This window comes from Homo sapiens, chromosome 3 (genome assembly GCF_000001405.40).
Source record: "Homo sapiens chromosome 3, GRCh38.p14 Primary Assembly".
Classification (NCBI taxonomy): Eukaryota; Metazoa; Chordata; class Mammalia; order Primates; family Hominidae; genus Homo; species Homo sapiens.
The window spans coordinates 100,608,891-100,628,249 of NC_000003.12; the positions used below are offsets into that span (position 1 = coordinate 100,608,891).

At 37.4% G+C, this 19,359-nt stretch overlaps 1 protein-coding gene across 1 annotated transcript in view; it reads left to right on the top strand.

Moving 5' to 3' along the window:
- Window positions 1–710: 710 nt before the first annotated feature.
- Window positions 711–19,359, top strand: part of ADGRG7 (adhesion G protein-coupled receptor G7) — an 85,879-nt gene continuing 67,230 nt past the window's right edge. The window contains exon 1 of the mRNA NM_032787.3: window positions 711–1,081. Coding sequence (NP_116176.2) covers window positions 967–1,081 — 115 coding nt within the window. The 5' untranslated portion in view covers window positions 711–966. The remainder of the gene's footprint in view (window positions 1,082–19,359) is intronic.

Here is a 19,359-nt window from a genome sequence, read left to right on the forward strand (position 1 = left end):
AAGGTGTCAGCAGAGCCAGTTCCTTCTGAGGACTCTCTCTTGTAGATGGCCGTCTTCTCTCTCTGTCTCTTCAGATCATCTTTCTGTATTCATGTCTGTGTTCAGATTTCTTCTTCTTATGAGGACACCAGCCATATTGATTAGTGACCACCCTAACAAACTCGTTTTAACTCGATCACCTCTGCAGTAACCACATCTCCATGTGAGGCCTCATTCTGAGGTACCGAAGGTTAGGACTCCAACATATGAATGTTGGAGGGGACACAATTCAGCCCATAGCAGGTGGGTTATCATGCTGGGCTTTAGTGCTTGTCAAGACCCAGCCTGTGCCAGTATGCACACTCACCAACTGCATCTGTCAAAATGTAGGCTCCTTAAAGAAATGCAAGCGCTAAAAACCATGTGTGGTGATTGCCATTTATCCTCTTATTGACAACCTAGTTCATTTCCCCGAGAGAGTGTTTTGTGTGGTCTGAAGCACCTGCCAGTCTATCTCTGCTGTACCCTCCCAAGACAAAAATACAGGAAGCCGAGCCATAGGTGACTACTGGCAACCACTGCCTTTGTGATTTCCTCTTTGGTTTCTTCTATTTTGTTCCCTTCCTTCACTCTGTGGCTTGTCTGGGCATTCACTCTTTGACCCTTGTGGCTAGTCCCTCCCCTTCTTCTTTATTGCCCTGAGTTATCTCCCTATTCCCATAACTCTAATCACTTTTTTCATGTTCTCCTTGAGTGAAGGATGAGGAAATTGAAAGCAGAGTATGCACCTTTTATTAGGAGATTCAAACTGCATCCTACTGGATTAGCCTCAAAAGTCCTAAAATACAAAGACATCCATCTGACAGATCACTGAGGGGAGGACTTGTTTTTCTGTTTTAGAATAGTTTCCGATTAAACTTTTTAGCTCAAGAAGAAAAGAAGCTAGTTATTTCTCACCCAGGAGTGGATTTGTGGTTTGGCTTCACCATGGCTTCCTGCCGTGCCTGGAACCTTAGGGTGCTGGTGGCTGTCGTGTGTGGACTACTGACTGGCATCATTTTGGGACTGGGCATCTGGAGGATTGTGATCAGGATCCAAAGAGGTAATGTTGTCCTGCTATGTTTAACTCAGAGTAAGAGAAGGTATGGGACCTCTGTCCCTGCCACCTGGTGCACAAGTACTGGGAGGTACCTTGTCCAGTCTGAGGCATTCCACCAAGGTGCCATTTATGGGATATAAAAGACCAAGTCAGTTAAGCCTAGCAGATGGTTGAATAGAAATGAATAGGTGTGGGTGTGAGTGGGCAGGGGGAAGAGTGACATAATTGAATTGGCCTCTTTATGCTCTTTTAACTCCAGACTGAATTGGTAGAAGAGTAATAATTAAAACGATTAGTAACACACATTTAGGTCTGTTTGGCTAAATTCAGGAAAGGGTAAATCGTTATGAACAAGGACACACACATGCATCAAACACATACACACACATGCATAACACACATACAATCAAACATACACAGAATGGAATTTCATTTTAAGAGAGAAGTTAAAGAAACTCATCACTAAGGTTTAAGTGAAATGATCTCATGGTTTGCATACAAATTTCCCACTTTCCAGATGTAGGAAACTAATCAAAAATTTAAAAACCATTTTTAAATGACTTTCCTGATTATTCAACGAACATTTGTTAGTCCCCCGCTGTGTGCCAGAGCTGGCCTGGAAAAGGAGGACGTGGGAGGGGAAGTAGTGAGTAAAACAATGATGTTAAAGAAAAGCCCGCTGGAACTCAGAACGCGAAATTTCAATGATCCTAATGCTGGATCCCTTGGGCTGTAGAGCTTCTCCGTAAAGGAATTCAATGTTGGATGGGCTACATACTCCCTTTCGTGAAAATCAGAGAAAGCTTCTAATGAAACAATAAATAAGGGTAAATAATGCCGATCGGGAAAGGCAGCAGGAGAGGCAGTATGCCCTCTGAGCAGGTAACTGGGGAGGACAGAAGGTTGGGGAGCTAGCAGGAGCATGGAGCATGGCTGCAAAGATCCAGTGTTGAAGACCAACAGAGGGATCTGACATACTGGCTGCTGATGGAGTGGTAGCTGGGGATGGATTTGTCCTCCCCCTACCCCACCGCCCTAACCAGTATTTAGAGAATACTGTATCGATAGTATTTAGAGAACTAGAATGAGAAAATTTACCAGAACAAAAATAGTAAAATTTAAACTTGGAGCAAATGTGTTTTTGTTTGTTTAAGGTTGTAAAATAGTTTCATTCAGGTTAAAAAATTATGAACTATGGATTTTACCCCATTAAGGCTGCCAAATTTATAAGACCTCATTTAAAGGACATACTTCACAAAGTTTTGTTTGTTTGTTTTTCCTTCCTTCCTTCCTTCCTTCCTTCCTTCCTTCCTTCCTTCCTTCCTTCCTTCCTTTCTTCTTTCCTTCCTTCCTTCCTTCCTCCCTTCCTTCCCCCCGTTCCTTTTTTCCTTTATGTAAGCGACATCTATTTTTAAAGGGAAATTTATGATGACTTATAAAGGACACAGTTATAGCAAAACCATTAAAAACAAGGACCAAAGTACAAAAACAACATGAGAAAGAGTGCAGGATGGGGGACAGAAAACCTGAAAGTTCAAGGCTTGGGGGGAGTTGCTGAAAATAAATACAAAATATATTCCCGAACTTTCTGAGTACTAAGATCCAAAAGGAGGCATAATAAGTAATAAAGATCCCATGTCTAACAATAGAGGCATACCAGCTCCTCAAAAAGAAAAACTTTTCTCTTGTTCTGAGAAGCATATTTCAATTGGCTGTTTATATAAGGGTCATCTCTTAGCTTTGGGGTAAACCCGATGGAAAAGGAGAGGGTTCTCACTGTCATTTAAAGAAAAAGAGTGAAAGACTGGCACCATTTGCTGTTACTATTTTGCCTTGTACATTTTATTGAGAGTGCATTTGAGTTGGTAAATTCTGTTTCTTTTCACTTCACTCCACTCCACTCTACTCCACTTCTTTTTATCCTATCCCATCCCATCCTATGTAATTGTTGAATATTCTTGCTTGGGTTCCTTTATTCAGGTATAGACATAAATTGTTTTTACATTTTTTTAAGGGGGAGAGAGGTCACACATATCTCTGAGAAACTGATGAAAGCTATAAATGTCTTAGTAGGGAAAATATATATAAACACACAAAATTTTGCATAAATTAATTTTATTGCATTCAAAATTTATTTTGAAGAATCACTCCAGGCTGGAGTAACATATATATAAATTAAAAGAACATATAAATTAAGTCTCTTTCACTTTTATTTTTCTTGGAAAAGTAATGGCCTCATTGTGAAAAATAAAAAAAAATTTCAAATTCTGCTCTGAGTAAATTTCAGTAAGAAGTTACTCTGATTTGGCAGTAAACACTGATGTACAACAATATTTATGCTATTTATGTATTTAATTATTATAATACCTATAGTTTTAAAAATTCTTACTATGTTCTAGGTACTATGCTAAAAACTTAGAGAAAATCTCAGTTTTGCCAGAACTCCAGCCTTTTCACATTGGGCATTCTTCATAGAAAAACACAAGAAGCAGTATAGCTTTTGGGCCCCTTCACTCTTGATGATGAAAGTAAAATGAAAACATAATTAAGCTTTATTATATTTCTTCCCATTGGCATTTTCCAACTTGTGCTAAGCCTGATATAATCATAGACAGATGTCCACAATCATAATGGTAGAAAATGTTTTCTTTAACTCCTCCCAAAGGGAGAGTATCTGAACCTCAAAACACATGAGTAGTGCCTTACTTGACCATATTCTACACCTCTTCTGGTTCGTAGAATTTCCTGCTCTTTGCCACCAGGACTGTTTTTTTCTTTATCCCCGCTTATCTCCAGATATTCTAACCTTCATTCTCTATCACAGGATACACCTGTTCTTCAGTCCTGCAAGAGATTTCAGGACGTTGAAATATTCCCAAACCCCAAGGTCTGACTTCATAGCATTGATAATTTTTGTTGATGTTGTTTTATTTTTGTTTTGAGAAGGAGTCTCATTCTGTCTCCAGGCTGGACTGTGGTGGCATGATCTCGGCTCACTGCAACCTCTGCCTCCTGAGTTCAAGCGATTCTCCTGCCTCAGCCTCCCGAGTAGCTGGGACTACAGGCACTCACCACCACGCCTGGCTATTTTGTGTATTTTTAGTAGAGATGTGGTTTCACCATGCTGACCAAGCTGGTCTTGAACTCCTGACCTTAAGTGATCTGCCCGCCTCGGCCTCCCAAAGTGCTGGGATTACAGGCGTGAGCCACCGCACCTGGCCTGATAATTCTTACACTGTGGAAAATACAGGTTGTTATGAAAGGTCAATGAGAGTTTATTGTTTGTCAAAAAATAATCTGACCATAGATACTTGGCTTTAATTTCACTCATTTACAGTACTTCTTTCAGAGGCAAACTCAATAAATCTAACTCATGTGACTGTTCCTGGAGTATATTTGCATTTGGGGGTTTAAAAAATAAAAAAAGTCCAGAGTAGAGTTTTCTGGAGAGAGAAAGTTGGTTTTAGGCAGCTATAGTGTTCTTTTGTCTTAATCCTGGTGTTGTAAATCTTTCTTCTGCTCCTTAACCAGTCTTCCTTCTTGCTTCCTCACATAACCACCCCCTAAATTAAAAAAAAAAAAAGTCTATTAAAGGGAAGGGATTTTTAAAATAAATTTATTCCAGTTTGGCTATGTAATTGGCTGAGGGGCATGGATTATTTTAATATCAGAATCAGTGATGTTTAAAGTGTTGATTCCATTTTAAAAGTTACTTTCTTGAACTAAGGGGCTAGAATCTTGGCTTAGTGGATTATTCCTGGATTTCAAGGTATTAGATATTTTTACTCGAAATTCTGGATACTTGCTGTTCTTTGATGACACAAACGTTGACGATCTAACATGGAATATAGTGGTTAAAATGGACACTTGAGAGTATAGGGGAAAAATGTACAAGAGTAGGGGAAAGAAAACTCTGGGGCCAAACTACCTGAGTTTAGATCCCAATAATGCCCCTCACTAGCTTTGAGCAAATTATTAACTTTGAGCAAATTATTCAACATTTTTGAGTCTCAGTTTTCCTGCTTATTATGTGCATAGTAGTAAACCCATGAGGCTTAAATGAGTCAATATATTAAAAATTTAAGATGATGTCTAGGACGTTGTAAGTACTTAATAATTGTTGGCTGCTATCCTCTAGGTATTTTTAGATAATTCAGTGCAGAGCATAGTTTTCTCCACTCCCTGGTTTATACCTTGAATAGATACCATTGACCTAGATTGGACCTTTGGATTGAGACTCAAATTACCAATCCAAAAGTTTACAATAGGTTTAATCATTAAGTTCAATTGACTAGCTCAAAACTGAAACAGAAACAGTTCTAAGAACTGGCACATCTTCCTGTATTTGCCTTTCAATACTTATGCTACACTGTACCATCAAGAAAAATGTTTATTAAAATATTTAGTCATGCATACCAAAGTATAATAAGAATTAAAAAAGGAAAAATTATTTAACCAGTTTATTGAAATATTTAACCAGGTAGTTAATACCGGACAAAGTTTACCTTAAATAAAGACTATGTGTATTTTATTTGTATAAATCTTTCAGGGTTTTTCTCTTTACAACCAGAATAAACTTTCCCAAGCATTGTCCTCTCATTTAAGAGTTAACTTTATTGTCACCAAACTATTTCAAATTAGGACAAATGAGAGATGCCTGGATTTTAAACCCCAAAAGACTAAGCTAGGCACTAGAAAGGATCTGCAGATGAAATTTCTTAGACTAAGGAAATATGTTTTTATTTCCCTACTTATTAAAATCAAACTTTTCAAAGCAGACTCTAATTTTGTCTAGGAGAAGAAATTAATATTTTTTATTTGGAATCTTTAATATTATTTTATGCTACTTTCTCAAGCAGCATGTATGTGTTGTATATGTTCTGTATTTAAACTTCCAAGATGTGTATTAAAAGCATTGAAAATGTGTAGTAAAAACATTGAAAATAGGGCTAATAATTCTAGAAATACTACTTTGTACAATTTAAAAGAATATAGGAAAATTATTATTATCATACTGATGTTATAAAAGAAAAATATTGCTACTAAATGTATTCCAAAATATGGAGCCTCAAATAAAAGGAAGCTGATGCTGCCTGTTGCAATCAATGGTAAAGGCAGGCACTGTGAGGAAGGAGCAGAAGCACTTGATCAGTTACAAGGAGGTCTGAGTCTAGCACCTGCTCTGCTACCAATTAATTACTGATCTGGAACTAATCACTCAGCCTTTATGTAGAATGAGGGGGTTGGGTTGATGAATAACTAATGTCACTTTTTTTCAAGATCATAATTCTAAAACTGGTTATATGATATGAACAAGCCACTTAATCTTTCTGAGTGTGACTTTCTTTAGGTAAAAATACAGTCTTAAAGATACCAGTACTATTTTTGCTGTATTTTGTGGGTAATTTAGGTATTTCAGAGGCTAGAGTCTTGAAGTGTGTAGTACAAGGTGTTAAACAGGTGATTGTGACAGAGGAATTGTTAGTTCAACTTGGACTAGATATCCTCAACCAAGATGCAAATGGCAAAGAAGCCAGTCAGCAAATGTGTGTTGGGTACCTTCTATTCAATGGCATTGTGCTAGGATTTGAAGATATGGACCAAGACCCTTGTTCTAAAAATTGGCAAATTACTCCTTAACTTTAAGAAATGACTCTTGACTTACAGCAAAAAGACAGAAGGAGTAGACATGGATGGACCTCCTTCTTGTTTACAAACATAGAAGTTACAAATAAAATATGAGAATAATTCAAATATGCAAGCAGGCTTTCTTTCTTGAGGAAAAATCACAAGTGGCAGAAATAAAGAGTAAAGTCAACCATATGAGGGGCAGCAAGCACTGGTGCAATTTCAATGCATTCAGGGGGACAGGAGGCATGATTTCTATGCTGTATGAAGCAAGGGAGCTGGACCTGAGCCACCAGCAAAATACCTAAGCCTTGAGTAGGATCAACCAAGAAAAGAAGATTAGAAAAATTTTACTTACTAGCCCAAAGAAGCATTAAATAACACTATCATCTGTTCAGAGCCATAAGTAAGGAAAAAAAAGTCACTACCAGTAATTGAAACCCCAGGCTTTACAATCTAAATCTGTCCTACCTATACAGTATTGAAATCTCCAAAAATAATCCTAATACTAGTTCAAGACTACTACTGATGGTGCCCCAGGATCGTAAAAGAAGTAATCATGAAATTTTCCTGTGGAAATATTTCCACAAACAAAACCCATAAAAGTCTCATGGAAGAATAATAAATAAGACAAAGATGAGTTTACAATACAAAATTACATGCGAACCATGATGCTGGAGAGACATCAGATGTCATCAAAAGGATTAACCCTCCCAGAATTGGATATAACAAAACCATCTGAAAGAGAATATAAAATATGTTTAACAAGATTAAGCCTTTAAAATACAGGAGAAAAATAAAAAAAGAAAAATACAGTATTTTAAAAAGAATAGGAGAATTTGAAAAAGAACCAAATAATACTTTTAAAATAGAAAATATAGTAATGATAAAAAAATTAATGAGTGATTTAAAAGGAGGTTAGAAATCATTAAGGTGCTGAGCATGGTGATTCATGCCTGTATTCCCAGCATTTGGGAGCTCAGGCTGGAGTGTCACTTGAAGCCAAGAGTTTGAGAGCAGCCTTGGCAACGTAGCAAGACCTCATCTCTGCAAAACACAAAATATTATTTCAAAAATAACCAGGCGTAGTGGCGCCTGCCTGTAGTCTCAGCTACTGGGGAGACTGTGGCAGAAGGATCCCTTGAGCCCAGGAGATGGAGGCTACAGTGAGCTATGATTACACCTCTGCACTCCAACCTGGGTGACAGAGGGAGATCCTGTCTCTACAAAACAAACAAATAAAGTCCCCCCTCCACACCCTAATAATTACAGAGAAAACTAGGGAATGGAAAAGAAAGCTAGGAAACTGTAATTCAACACAGTAATATAAAGAGATGTTAACAATAATGAGATTAAAAAATTTGATGTATAGAAGGCTAAAGTCCAACAGGGTCTATGAGACATTTCAGAAGAGAATAGAAAATATGGGAGAAGCAACTCTTAAAGAAGTAATAACTAAAAAGTTTTCTTGATTGAAGGATGACTTTTCAAGTAGGCAAAGCAAAAACAAACCACATCATGGTAAAATTGCAGAACATCAGATAAAGAAAATTTAAAAGATGTTTATAGAAAAAAGAGTCCCCCAAAATAAATAAAAATTGGAAAATAATATTTTCTTTTTTTCTTTTTCTTTTTTATTGTACTTTAAGTTTTAGGGTACATGTGCACAACATGCAGATTAGTTACATATGCATACATGTGCCATGTTGGTGTGCTGCACCCATTAACTCGTCACTTAACATTAGGTATATCTCCTAATGCTATCCCTTCCCCTCCCCCCACCCCACAACAGGCCCTGGTGTGTGATGTTCCCCTTCCTGTGTCCATGGGTTCTCATTGTTCAATTCCCACCTATGAGTGAGAACATGCGGTGCTTGGTTTTTTGTCCTTGCGATAGTTTGCTGAGTATGATGGTTTCCAGCTTCATCCATGTCCCTACAAAGGACATGAACTCATCATTTTTTATGGCTGCATAGTATTCCATGGTGTATATGTGCCACATACACAATGTCTATCATTGTTGGACATTTGGGTTGGTTCCAAGTCTTTGCTATTGTGAATAGTGCCGCAATAAACATATGTGTGCATGTGTCTTTATAGCAGTATGATTTATAATCCTTTGGGTATATACCCAGTAATGGGATGGCTGGGTCAAATGGTATTTCTAGTTCTAGATCCCTGAGGAATCGCCACACTGACTTCCACAATGGTTGAACTAGTTTACAGTTCCACCAACAGTGTAAAAGTGTTCCTATTTCTCCACATCCTCTCCAGCACCTGTTGTTTCCTGACTTTTTCATGATCGCCATTGTAACTGGTGTGAGAATGGTATCTCATTGTGGTTTTGATTTGCATTTCTCTGATGACCAGTGATGATGAGCATTTTTTCATGTGTCTATTGGCTGCATAAATGTCTTCTGTCGAGAAGTGTCTGTTCATATCCTTCGCTCGCTTTTTGATGGGGTTGTTTGTTTTTTTCTTGTAAATTTGTTTGAGTTCATTGTAGATTCTGGATTTTAGCCCTTTGTCAGATGAGTAGATTGCAAAAATTTTCTCCCATTCTGTAGGTTGCCTGTTCACTCTGATGGTAGTTTCTTTTGCTGTGCAGAAGCTCTTTAGTTTAATTAGATCCCATTTGTCAATTTTGGCTTTTGCTGCCATTGCTTTTGGTGTTTTCGACATGAAGTCCTTGCCCATGCCTATGTCCTGAATGGTATTGCCTAGGTTTTCTTCTAGGGTTTTTATGGTTTTAGGTCTAACATTTAAGTATTTAATCCATCTTGAATTAATTTTTGTATAAGGTATAAGCAAGGGATCTAGTTTCAGCTTTCTACATTCGGCTAGCCAGTTTTCCCAGCACCATTTATTAAATAGGGAATCATTTTCCCATTTCTTGTTTTTGTCAGATTTGTCAAAGATCAGATGGTTGTAGATATGAGGCATCATTTCTGAGGGCTCTTTTCTGTTCCATTGTTCTATATCTCTGTTTTGGTACCAGTACCATGCTGTTTTGGTTACTGTAGCCTTGTAGTATAGTTTGAAGTCAGGTAGCGTGATGCCTCCAGCTTTGTTCTTTTGGCTTAGGATTGACTTGGCGATGCGGGCTCTTTTTTTGGTTCCGTATGAACTTTAAAGTAGTTTTTTCCAATTCTATGAAGAAAGTCATTGGTAGCTTGATGGTGATGGCATTGATCTATAAATTACCTTGGGCAGTATGGCCATTTTCACAATATTGATTCTTCCTACCCATGAGCATGGAATGTTCTTCCATTTGTTTGTATCCTCTTTTATTTCACTGAGTAGTGGTTTGTAGTTCTCCTTGAAGAGGTCCTTCACGTCCTTTGTAAGTTGGATTCCTAGGTATTTTATTCTTTTTAAAGCAATTGTGAATGGGAGTTCACTCATGATTTGGCTCTCTGTTTGTCTACTATTGGTGTATAAGAATGCTTGTGATTTTTGCACATTGATTTTGTATCATGAGACTTTGGTGAAGTTGCCTGTCAGCTAAGGAGATTTTGGGCCGAGACTATGGGGTTTTCTAGATATACAATCATGTCATAGTAAAGCACTCCTCAGCAAATGTAAAAGAACAGAAATCATAACAAACTGTGTCTCAGACCACAGTGCAATCAAGCTAGAACTCAGGATTAAGAAACTCACTCAAAACCGCTCAACTACATGGAAACTGAACAACCTGCTCCTGAATGAATACTGGGTAAATAATGAAATGAAGGCAGAAATAAAGATGTTCTTTGAAACCAACAAGAACAAAGACACAACACACCAGAATCTCTGGGACACATTCAAAGCAGTGTGTAGAGGGAAATTTATAGCACTAAATGCCCACAAGAGAAAGCAGGAAAGATCTAAAATTGACACCCTAACATCACAATTAAAAGAACTAGAGAAGCAAGAGCAAACACATTCAAAAGCTAGCAGAAGGCGAGAAATAACTAAGATCAGAGCAGAACTGAAGGAAATAAAGACACAAAAAACCCTTCAAAAAATCAATGAATCCAGGAGCTGGTTTTTTGAAAAGATCAACAAAATTGAAAGACAGCTAGCAAGACTAATAAAGAAGAAAAGAGAGAAGAATCAAATAGATGCAATAAAAAATGATAAAGGGGATATCACCACCGATCCCACAGAAATACAAACTACCATCAGAGAATACTATAAACACCTCTACGCAAATAAACTAGAAAATCTAGAAGAAATGGATAAATTCCTCGACACGTACACTCTCCCAAGACTAAACCAGGAAGAAGTTGAATCTCTGAATAGACCAATAACAGGCTCTGAAATTGAGGCAATAATCAATAGCTTACCAACCAAAAAAAGTCCAGGACCAGATGGATTCACAGCCAAATTCTACCAGAGGTATAAGGAGGAGCTGGTACCATTCCTTCTGAAACTATTCCAATCAATAGAAAAAGAGGGAATCCTCCCTAGCTCATTTTATGAGGCCAGCCTCATCCTGTTACCAAAGCCTGGCAGAGACACAACAAAAAAAGAGAATTTTAGACCAATATCCCTGATGAACATCGATGCAAAAATCCTCAGTAGAATACTGGCAAACCGAATCCAGCAGCACATCAAAAAGCTTATCCACCATGATCAAGTGGGCTTCATCCCTGGGATGCAAGGCTGGTTCAACATACGCAAATCAATAAATGTAATCCAGGATATAAACAGAACCAATGACAAAAACTATATGATTATCTCAATAGATGCAGAAAAGGCCTTTGACAAAATTCAACAGCCCTTCATGCTAAAAACTCTCAATAAATTAGGTATCGATGGGACGTATCTCAAAATAATAAGAGTTATCTATGACAAACCCACAGCTAACATCATACTGAATGGGCAAAAACTGGAAGCATTCCCTTTGAAAACTGGCACAAGACAGGGATGCCCTGTGTCACCACTCCTATTCAACATAGTGTTGGAAGTTCTGGCCAGGGCAATCAGGCAGGAGAAGGAAATAAAGGGTATTCAATTAGAAAAATAATATTTTCAAGGTGTTGTCAACCCAGAATTCCTACCTTATCAAACTGACAATCACAGTGAGAGAAAAATAAAAGCATTTTCAGCTAAACACTGGAGAATCTGTCCCTCACAGACCCTGGCTGAAAGAATTATTAAATCGTATACATCAAAAAGCAAGAAATTGAATCCAGAAGAAAGTAAATGCAATACAGACACACCTTGTTTTATTGCACATCATAGGTATTATGTTTTTTTTTTTTACAACTGGAAGTTTTGTGGCAACTCTGTGTCAAGCAGGTCTGTTGGTCCCATTTTTCCAATAACATGTGCTCGCTTCATGTCTCTGTGTCAGTCACATTTTGGTAATTCTCACAATATGTCAAACTTTTTCATTATTATTATTTCTGTTATGGTGGTCTGTGATCATGATCTTTGATGTTACTATTGCAATTGTTTTTGGGTGCCGTGAACCACGTCCATGTAAAGATGGCAAACATAATCAATAAATGTTGTATGTGTTCTGACTGCTCTACAGACTGGCAAATCCCTCAACTCTCATACTCTTCTCAGGCCTCTCTATTCCCCGAGACACAACATCGTTGAAATTAGGCCAATTAATAATCCTACAATGGCCTCTAACTATTTGAGCGAAAGGAAGAGTTGCATGTCTCTCACTTGGAATCAAAAGCTAGAAATGATTAAGTTTAGTGAGAAAAGCATGTGAAAGCTGAGAAAGCAGAAAGCTAGTATGTTGTGCCAAACAGTTAGCCAAATTGTGATTGCAAAGGAAAAGTTATTCAAGGAAATTAAAAATGCTACTCCAGTGAACACACAAATGGTAAGAAAATAAAAGAGTCTTTTTGCTGATATGGAGAAAATTTGAGTGGTCTGGATGGAAGATCAAACCAGTTGTAACATTCCCTTAAGCTAAAGCCTAATCCAGAACAAGGCTCTAACTTGTTTCAATTCTATGGAGGCTGAGAGAGTTGAGAAAACTACAAAGGAAAAGTTGGAATCTAGCAGAGATTGGTTTATGAAGTTTAATGAAAGAAGCCATCTCCATAACATAAAAGTGCAAAGGAAAGCAGCAAGTGCTGATGTAGAAGCTGCCGCAAGTTTTTCAGAATATATAAATAAGATAATTGATGAAGATGACTACACTAAACAACAGATTTTCAGTGTATAAAACAGGCTTCTATTGAAAGAAGATGCCATCTAGGACTTTCACAGCTAGAGAGGAGAAGTCAACAAACATCTGGCTCCAAACTTCAAAGGACAGGTTCTCTTGTTAGTAGCTAATACGGCTGGTGACCTAAAGTTGAAGCCAATGTTCATTCACCAGTGGTTTCGAGATGAAACTATTCCACTTCAGATCATTGGGTATTAGACTCTCATAACGAGCGTGCAACCTACATCTCTTGCATGCATAGTTCATGTTACGGTTTGTGCTCTTATGATAATCTAATGCTGCTGATCTGACAGGAGGCTAAGCTCAGGAGATAACACTCACTCGCCCATGGCTCACCTCCTGCTGTGTGGCCTGGTTCCTAATAGGCCATGGATTGGTACCCGGGGCTGGGGACCCCTGTACTAGAGTTTTATAGTTTTGCATTTTACGTTAGATCTATGATTCATTTGAGATAGTTTTTGTGAAAGATGTAAGTCTCTCTCTATATTCATTTTTTTTTTTTTTTTTTTTTGCTTATGGTTGTCCAGTTGTTTCCGCAATATTTGTTGAAAAGACTATCCTCTCTCCATTGAATTTCCCTTGCTTCTTTGTTGAGGAGCAGTTGACTATATTTGCATGGGTCTATTTATGGAGTCTCTATTCTATTCTATTAATCTATTTGTCTATTCTAGTGGGATGTGAAATGATATTTAACTGTGGCTTTAATTTGTATTTCTCTGATGACTAAGATGCTGAGTCTTTTCACTTGTTTATTGCCCATCCATATATCTTCTTTTATTAAGTGTCTGTTCCAGTCTTTTGCCCACTTAAAAAAAGCGGGCTGCTTGGGTTCTTATTATTAATGTGTATTCTTCACAATTTACAAATTGCAATTCTAATCTACAATTAGATTTACAACTCTAATTTACACTTTTGGATACAATTCCTTTGTCAGATATATGTACCGCAAATATTTTCTCCCAGTTTGTGGCTTCCATTTTTATCTTCTTTTTTTTCCTTTTTTTTGAGATGGAGTCTCACTCTGTTGCCCAGGCTGGAGTGCAGTGGCATGATCTTGGCTCACTGCAACTTCTGCCTCCCAGGTTCAAGCCATCCTCCTGCCTCAGCTGGGACTACAGGCATGCGTCACCATGCCCGGAAAATTTTTGTTTTTGTTTTTTTTTTTTGGTAGAGACAGGGTTTTGAGACCAGGTTGGCCAGGCTGGTCTCAAACTCCTGACGTCAGATAATCCATCATCTCGGTCTCCCAAAATGCTGGGATTACAGGCAGGAGCCACTGTGTCTGGCCTATTTTTATCTTAACAGTGCCTTTGATGACAGGAGTTTTTAATTTGACTAAAGCTAATTATCAATTTTTTTCTATTATTCTTAGTGCTTTTGTGTCCTTTAAAAAACAATCTTTAGCCCAAAGTTGCAAATGTATTCTCCTATGTTTTCTTTGAGAAGCATTTTAGTTTTAGCTTTCTGATTTGAGGACTACAGTCCACCTCAGACTGAGTTTTGAGGGTGATTTTTTTATTCAGTTAGTCTAGCACCATTTGTTGAAAAAACTTTCCCTTCTCAATTAAATTGCCTTGGTACGTCTTTAAAATGATAATGGGCCATATATGTTTTATCTATTTCTAACCTTTTGTTCTACTTCATTGATGTATTTGTCTACCTTTATGCTGATTCCATCCTGTCTTGATTGCTATGGCTTTATTGTAAGTCATACCCTCAGTAATGTGAGCCTTCTAAATCTGTTCTTTTTTCCAATTTTTAAAAAAAATTTTATTTTACTTTAAGTTGCAGGATACAAGTGCAGACCTTGTAGGTTTGTTACATAGGTATACGTGTGCGCTGGTGGTTTGCTGCACCTATCAACTTATCATGTACGTTTTAAGCCCCACATGCATTAGCTATTTGTCTTAATGCTCTCCCTCCCCTTGCCCCTACTCCCCAACAGGCCCCGGTGTGTGTTGTTCCCCTTCCTGTGTTCATGTGTTCTCATTGTTCAACTTCCACATATAAGTGAGAACATGCGGTGTTTGGTTTTCTGTTCCTGTGTTAGTTTGCTGAGAATGATGGCTTCCAGCTTCATCCATGTCCCTGCAATGGACAGTATCTCATTCCTTTTTATGGCTGCATAGTATTTCATGGTGTATATGTACCAAATTTTCTTTATCCAGTCTATCATTGATGGACATTTGGGTTGGTTCCATGTCTTTGCTATTGTAAATAGTGCTGCAATAAACATATGGGTTCATGTGTCTTTATAGTGGAATGATGAGTATATACCCACTAACTGGATTAGTGGGTCAAACGGTATTTCTGGTACTAGATCCTTGAGGAATTGCCACACTTTCTTCCAGAATGGTTGAACTAATTTACACTCCCACCAACAGTGTAAAAGCATTCCTATTTCTCCACAGCCTTGCCAGCATATATTGTTTCTTAACTCTTTAATAATCACCATTCTGACTGGTGTGAAATGATATCTCTTTGCGGTTTTGATTTGCATTTCTGTAATGATCAGTGTGAAGTTGAGCTTGTTTTCATATGTTTGTTGGCTGCATAAATGTCTTCTTTTGAGAAGTGTCTGTTCATATCCTCTGCCCACTTTTTGATAGGATTGTTTGTTTTTTTCTTGTAAATTTAAGTTCCTTGTAGATTCTGTATATTAGACCTTTGCAATGAAGAGATTGCAAAAAATTTCTCCCATTCTGTAGGTTGCCTGTTCATTCTGATAACAGTTTATTTTGCTGTGCAGAAGCTCTTTAGTTTAATTAGATCCCATTTGTCAATTTTGGCTTTTGTTGCAATTGCTTTTGGTGTTTTCATCATGAAGTCTTTGCACATGCCTATGTCCTGAATGGTATTGCCTAGGTTTTCTTCTAGGGTTTTTATGGTTTTGAGTTTTACATTAAAGTCTTTAATCCATCTTGAGTTAATTTTTGTATAAGGAGTCAGGAAGGGGTCCAGTTTCAGTTTTCTGCATGTGGCTAGCCAGCTTTCCCAGCACTATTTATTAAATAGGGAATCCTTTCCCTATTGCTTGTTTTTGTCCAGGTTGTTGAAGATCAGATGTTTGTAGATGTGTGGTGTTATTTCTGAGGTCTCTGTTCTGTTCCATTGGTTTATATATCTGTTTTGGCACCAGTACCATGCTGTTTTGGTTATTGTAGCCTTGTAGTATAGTTTGAAGTCAGGTAGCATGATGCCTCCAGCTTTGTTCTTTTTGCTTAGGATTGTCTTGGCTATACAGACTCTTTTTTGGTTCCATATAAAATTTAAAGTAGTTTTTTCTAATTCTGTGAAGAATGTCAATGGTAGTTTGATGCGAATAGAATTGAATCTATGAATTGCTCTTGGCAGTATGGCCATTTTCATGATATTGATTCTTCCTATCCGTGAAGATGGAATGTTTATCCATTTGTTTGTGTCCTCTCTTATTTCCTTGAGCAGTGGTTTGTAGTTCTCCTGGAAGAGGTTCTTCACATCTCTTGTTAGCTGTATTCCTAGGTATTTTATTCTCTTTGTAGAAATTGTGATGGGAGTTCACTCATAATTTGGCTCCCTGCTTGTCTATTGTTGGTGTATAGTTGTGCTTGTGATTTTTGCACACTGATTTTGTATCCTGAGACTTAGCTGAAATTGCTTATCAGTTTAAGGAGTTTTGGGGCTGAGACGATGGGGTTTTCTAAATATAGAATCATGTTGTTTGCAAACAGAGACAATTTGATTTCCTATTTGAATATCCTTTATTTCTTTCTCTTGCCTGATTGCCCTGGCCAGAACTTCCAATACTATGTTGAATAGGGTTGGTGAGAGGGGGCATCCTTGCCTTGTGCCAGTTTTCAAAGGAAATGCTGCCCATTTTTGCCCATTCAGTACGATATTGGCTGTGGTTTTATCATAAACAGCTCTTATTATTTTGAGATATGTTCCATCAATACCTAGTTTATTGACAATTTTTAACATGAAGGGATGTTGAATTTTTATTGAAGTCCTTTTCTGCATCTATTGAGGTGATCATGTGGTTTTTGTCATTGGTTCTGTTTATGTGATGGATTACATTTATTGATTTGCATATGTTGAACCAGCATTGCATCCTAGGGATGAAGCCAACTTGATCGTGGTGGATAAGCTTTTTGATGTGCTGCTGGATTCGGTTTTTGCATCGATGTGCATCAGGGATATCAGCCTGAAGTTTTCTTTTGTGTGTTTGTGTCTCTGCCAGGTTTTGTTATCAGGATGATGCTGGCTTCATAAAATGAGCTAGGGAGGAGTCCCTCTTTTTCAATTGTTTGGAATAGTTTCACAAGGAAAGGTACCAGCTCCTCTTGGTATCTCTGGTAGAATGCAGCTCTGTGAATCCGTGTGGTCCTGGGCTTTTTTTGGTTGGTAGGCTAGTAATTACTGCCTCAATTTCAGAGCTCGTTATTGACCTATTCAGGGATTTGGCTTCTTGTTTTAGTCTTGTGAGGGTGTATGTGTCCAGGAATTTATCCATTTCTTCTAGATTTTCTAGTTTATTTGCATAGAGTTGTTCTTCTTTTTGGCCTTTCTAAGTGTTTTGCATTTCCATAAATATTTTAAATCCGCTTGTTAATTTCTATAAAAAAACTTTCATTTATGGATTTTGACTGTATCAATTTGGGGAGAATAGACACCTTAGCAACTTTGAATCTTCCATCCATACAAGGTATATATCTCCATTTATTTAGATCTTTTAAAATTTATTTGAACGGGGTCAGGCATGGTGGCTCATGCCTGTAATCCCAGCACTTTGGGAGGCCAAGGTGGGCGGATCGTGAGGTCAGGAGTTCGAGACCAGCCTAGCTAATATGGTGAAACCCCATCTCTACTACAAATACAAAAATTAGCTGGGCATGGTGGCATGTGCCCGTAGTCCCAGCTACTCGGGAGGCTGAGGTAGAAGAATCGCTTGAACCCAGGAGTCAGAGGTTGCAGTGAGCCGAGATTGTGCCACTGCACTCCAGCCTAGGCAACAGAGCAAGACTCCGTCAAAAGAAAAAAAAATTATCTGAACAATGAGATCTTGTTAAGTAAATTTTGTTAGATTTATTTCCAAGAATTTTATAATTTTTGATGCTATTTTAAATGAAAATGATTTATGCTTTTATATTTCAATTGTTTGTTGCTAATATGTGAAAATGTCTTTATTTTATGTCATGCAGTCTTGCTAAATTCACTTATTAATTATAGTAACTTTTTGGAGATATCTTAGCATTTCATATATTTGATGATATCATCTGCAATTCCTTCTTAATTTTACACTTTTGTTTCTTTTTCCTGCGTATTGCACTGCTAGCATCTTCAGCACCATGTTGAATCGAAGTGGTTATAGCAATTATATTGAACTGTGTTTTTGTCAGTCTTAGGAGAGACAGTATTCAATATTACACTGTTAAGTATGATATTTGTAGTAGGTTCTTCACAGGTGATTTTATCAGTTTGAAGATGTTCTGTTTTATTTCTCGTTTGCTGAGAGTTTAAAAAAAGTGAGATGCTTTTTGTCTCCTGCATTTATTGAGATGATCGTGAAGTTTATCTCCTTTATTCTATCATATGATTAATTAAATTAATTGATTTTCTATTGATTGCCAACCTAACCTTGCATCCCTGGGATAAATCTCACTTGGTCATGATGTATTATTAGTTTTATATGTTGAGAGATTTGACTTCCTGCTATTTTTAAAGGATTTTTTTGGCATCTGTGTAAACGTGATTTATTGGCCTGTAACTTTATTTTCTTGTAATGTCTTTGTCAGATTTTGGTATAAGGGTTATGCTGGCATTATGAAATGATTTGGGAAGTTTCTTCATTTCTTTATTTTCTAAAAGAGTTTGTATGAGATTGGTGTTATTTCTTTTCTAATTTACGAGTAAAACTATCTGGGCTGGCAGTTGGATACTTTCAGGATTTTCTCCTTATCTTTGAGTTTCAGCAGTTTGACTGACTGTGAAGTGTCTATGCATGGTTTTTCTTGCATTTGTTTTTCTTGTGATTCTTCTGAGCCTCTTGGATCTATAAGCTGAAGTTCTTAACAAAATTTGGGAAATTTTGACATGATTTCTTCTGATATTTTATCTTCCCTATTCCTTCTCTTTTCCCCTTCTAGGACTCCAATTGCTTATATGTTAGACAATATGTTGATATTGTCCCACAGATTCTTGAAGCTCTGTTTATTTTTTTAAATCTTTTTTCTCCCTGGATTTGAGAGTAATTTCTACACAAACTTTGAGTTTCTTTTCTATATGGCTCCTTTTATTCTGGGATATCTACCTTCAATTTCCAGTTGTTCTTGCAACCCCAAAGAGTTTCCTGTCATACCTTAACCCATTAAGACTGGCTTTCTGATCAAGTTTCAGCCACTTCTGCCATAGAGACTGGGTAGTGCCCTTAGTGGAAATACTATAGAGACTTCGAATACCTTTCAGTTTCTGCCTGTTTTTCATTGCTGTCCAATGC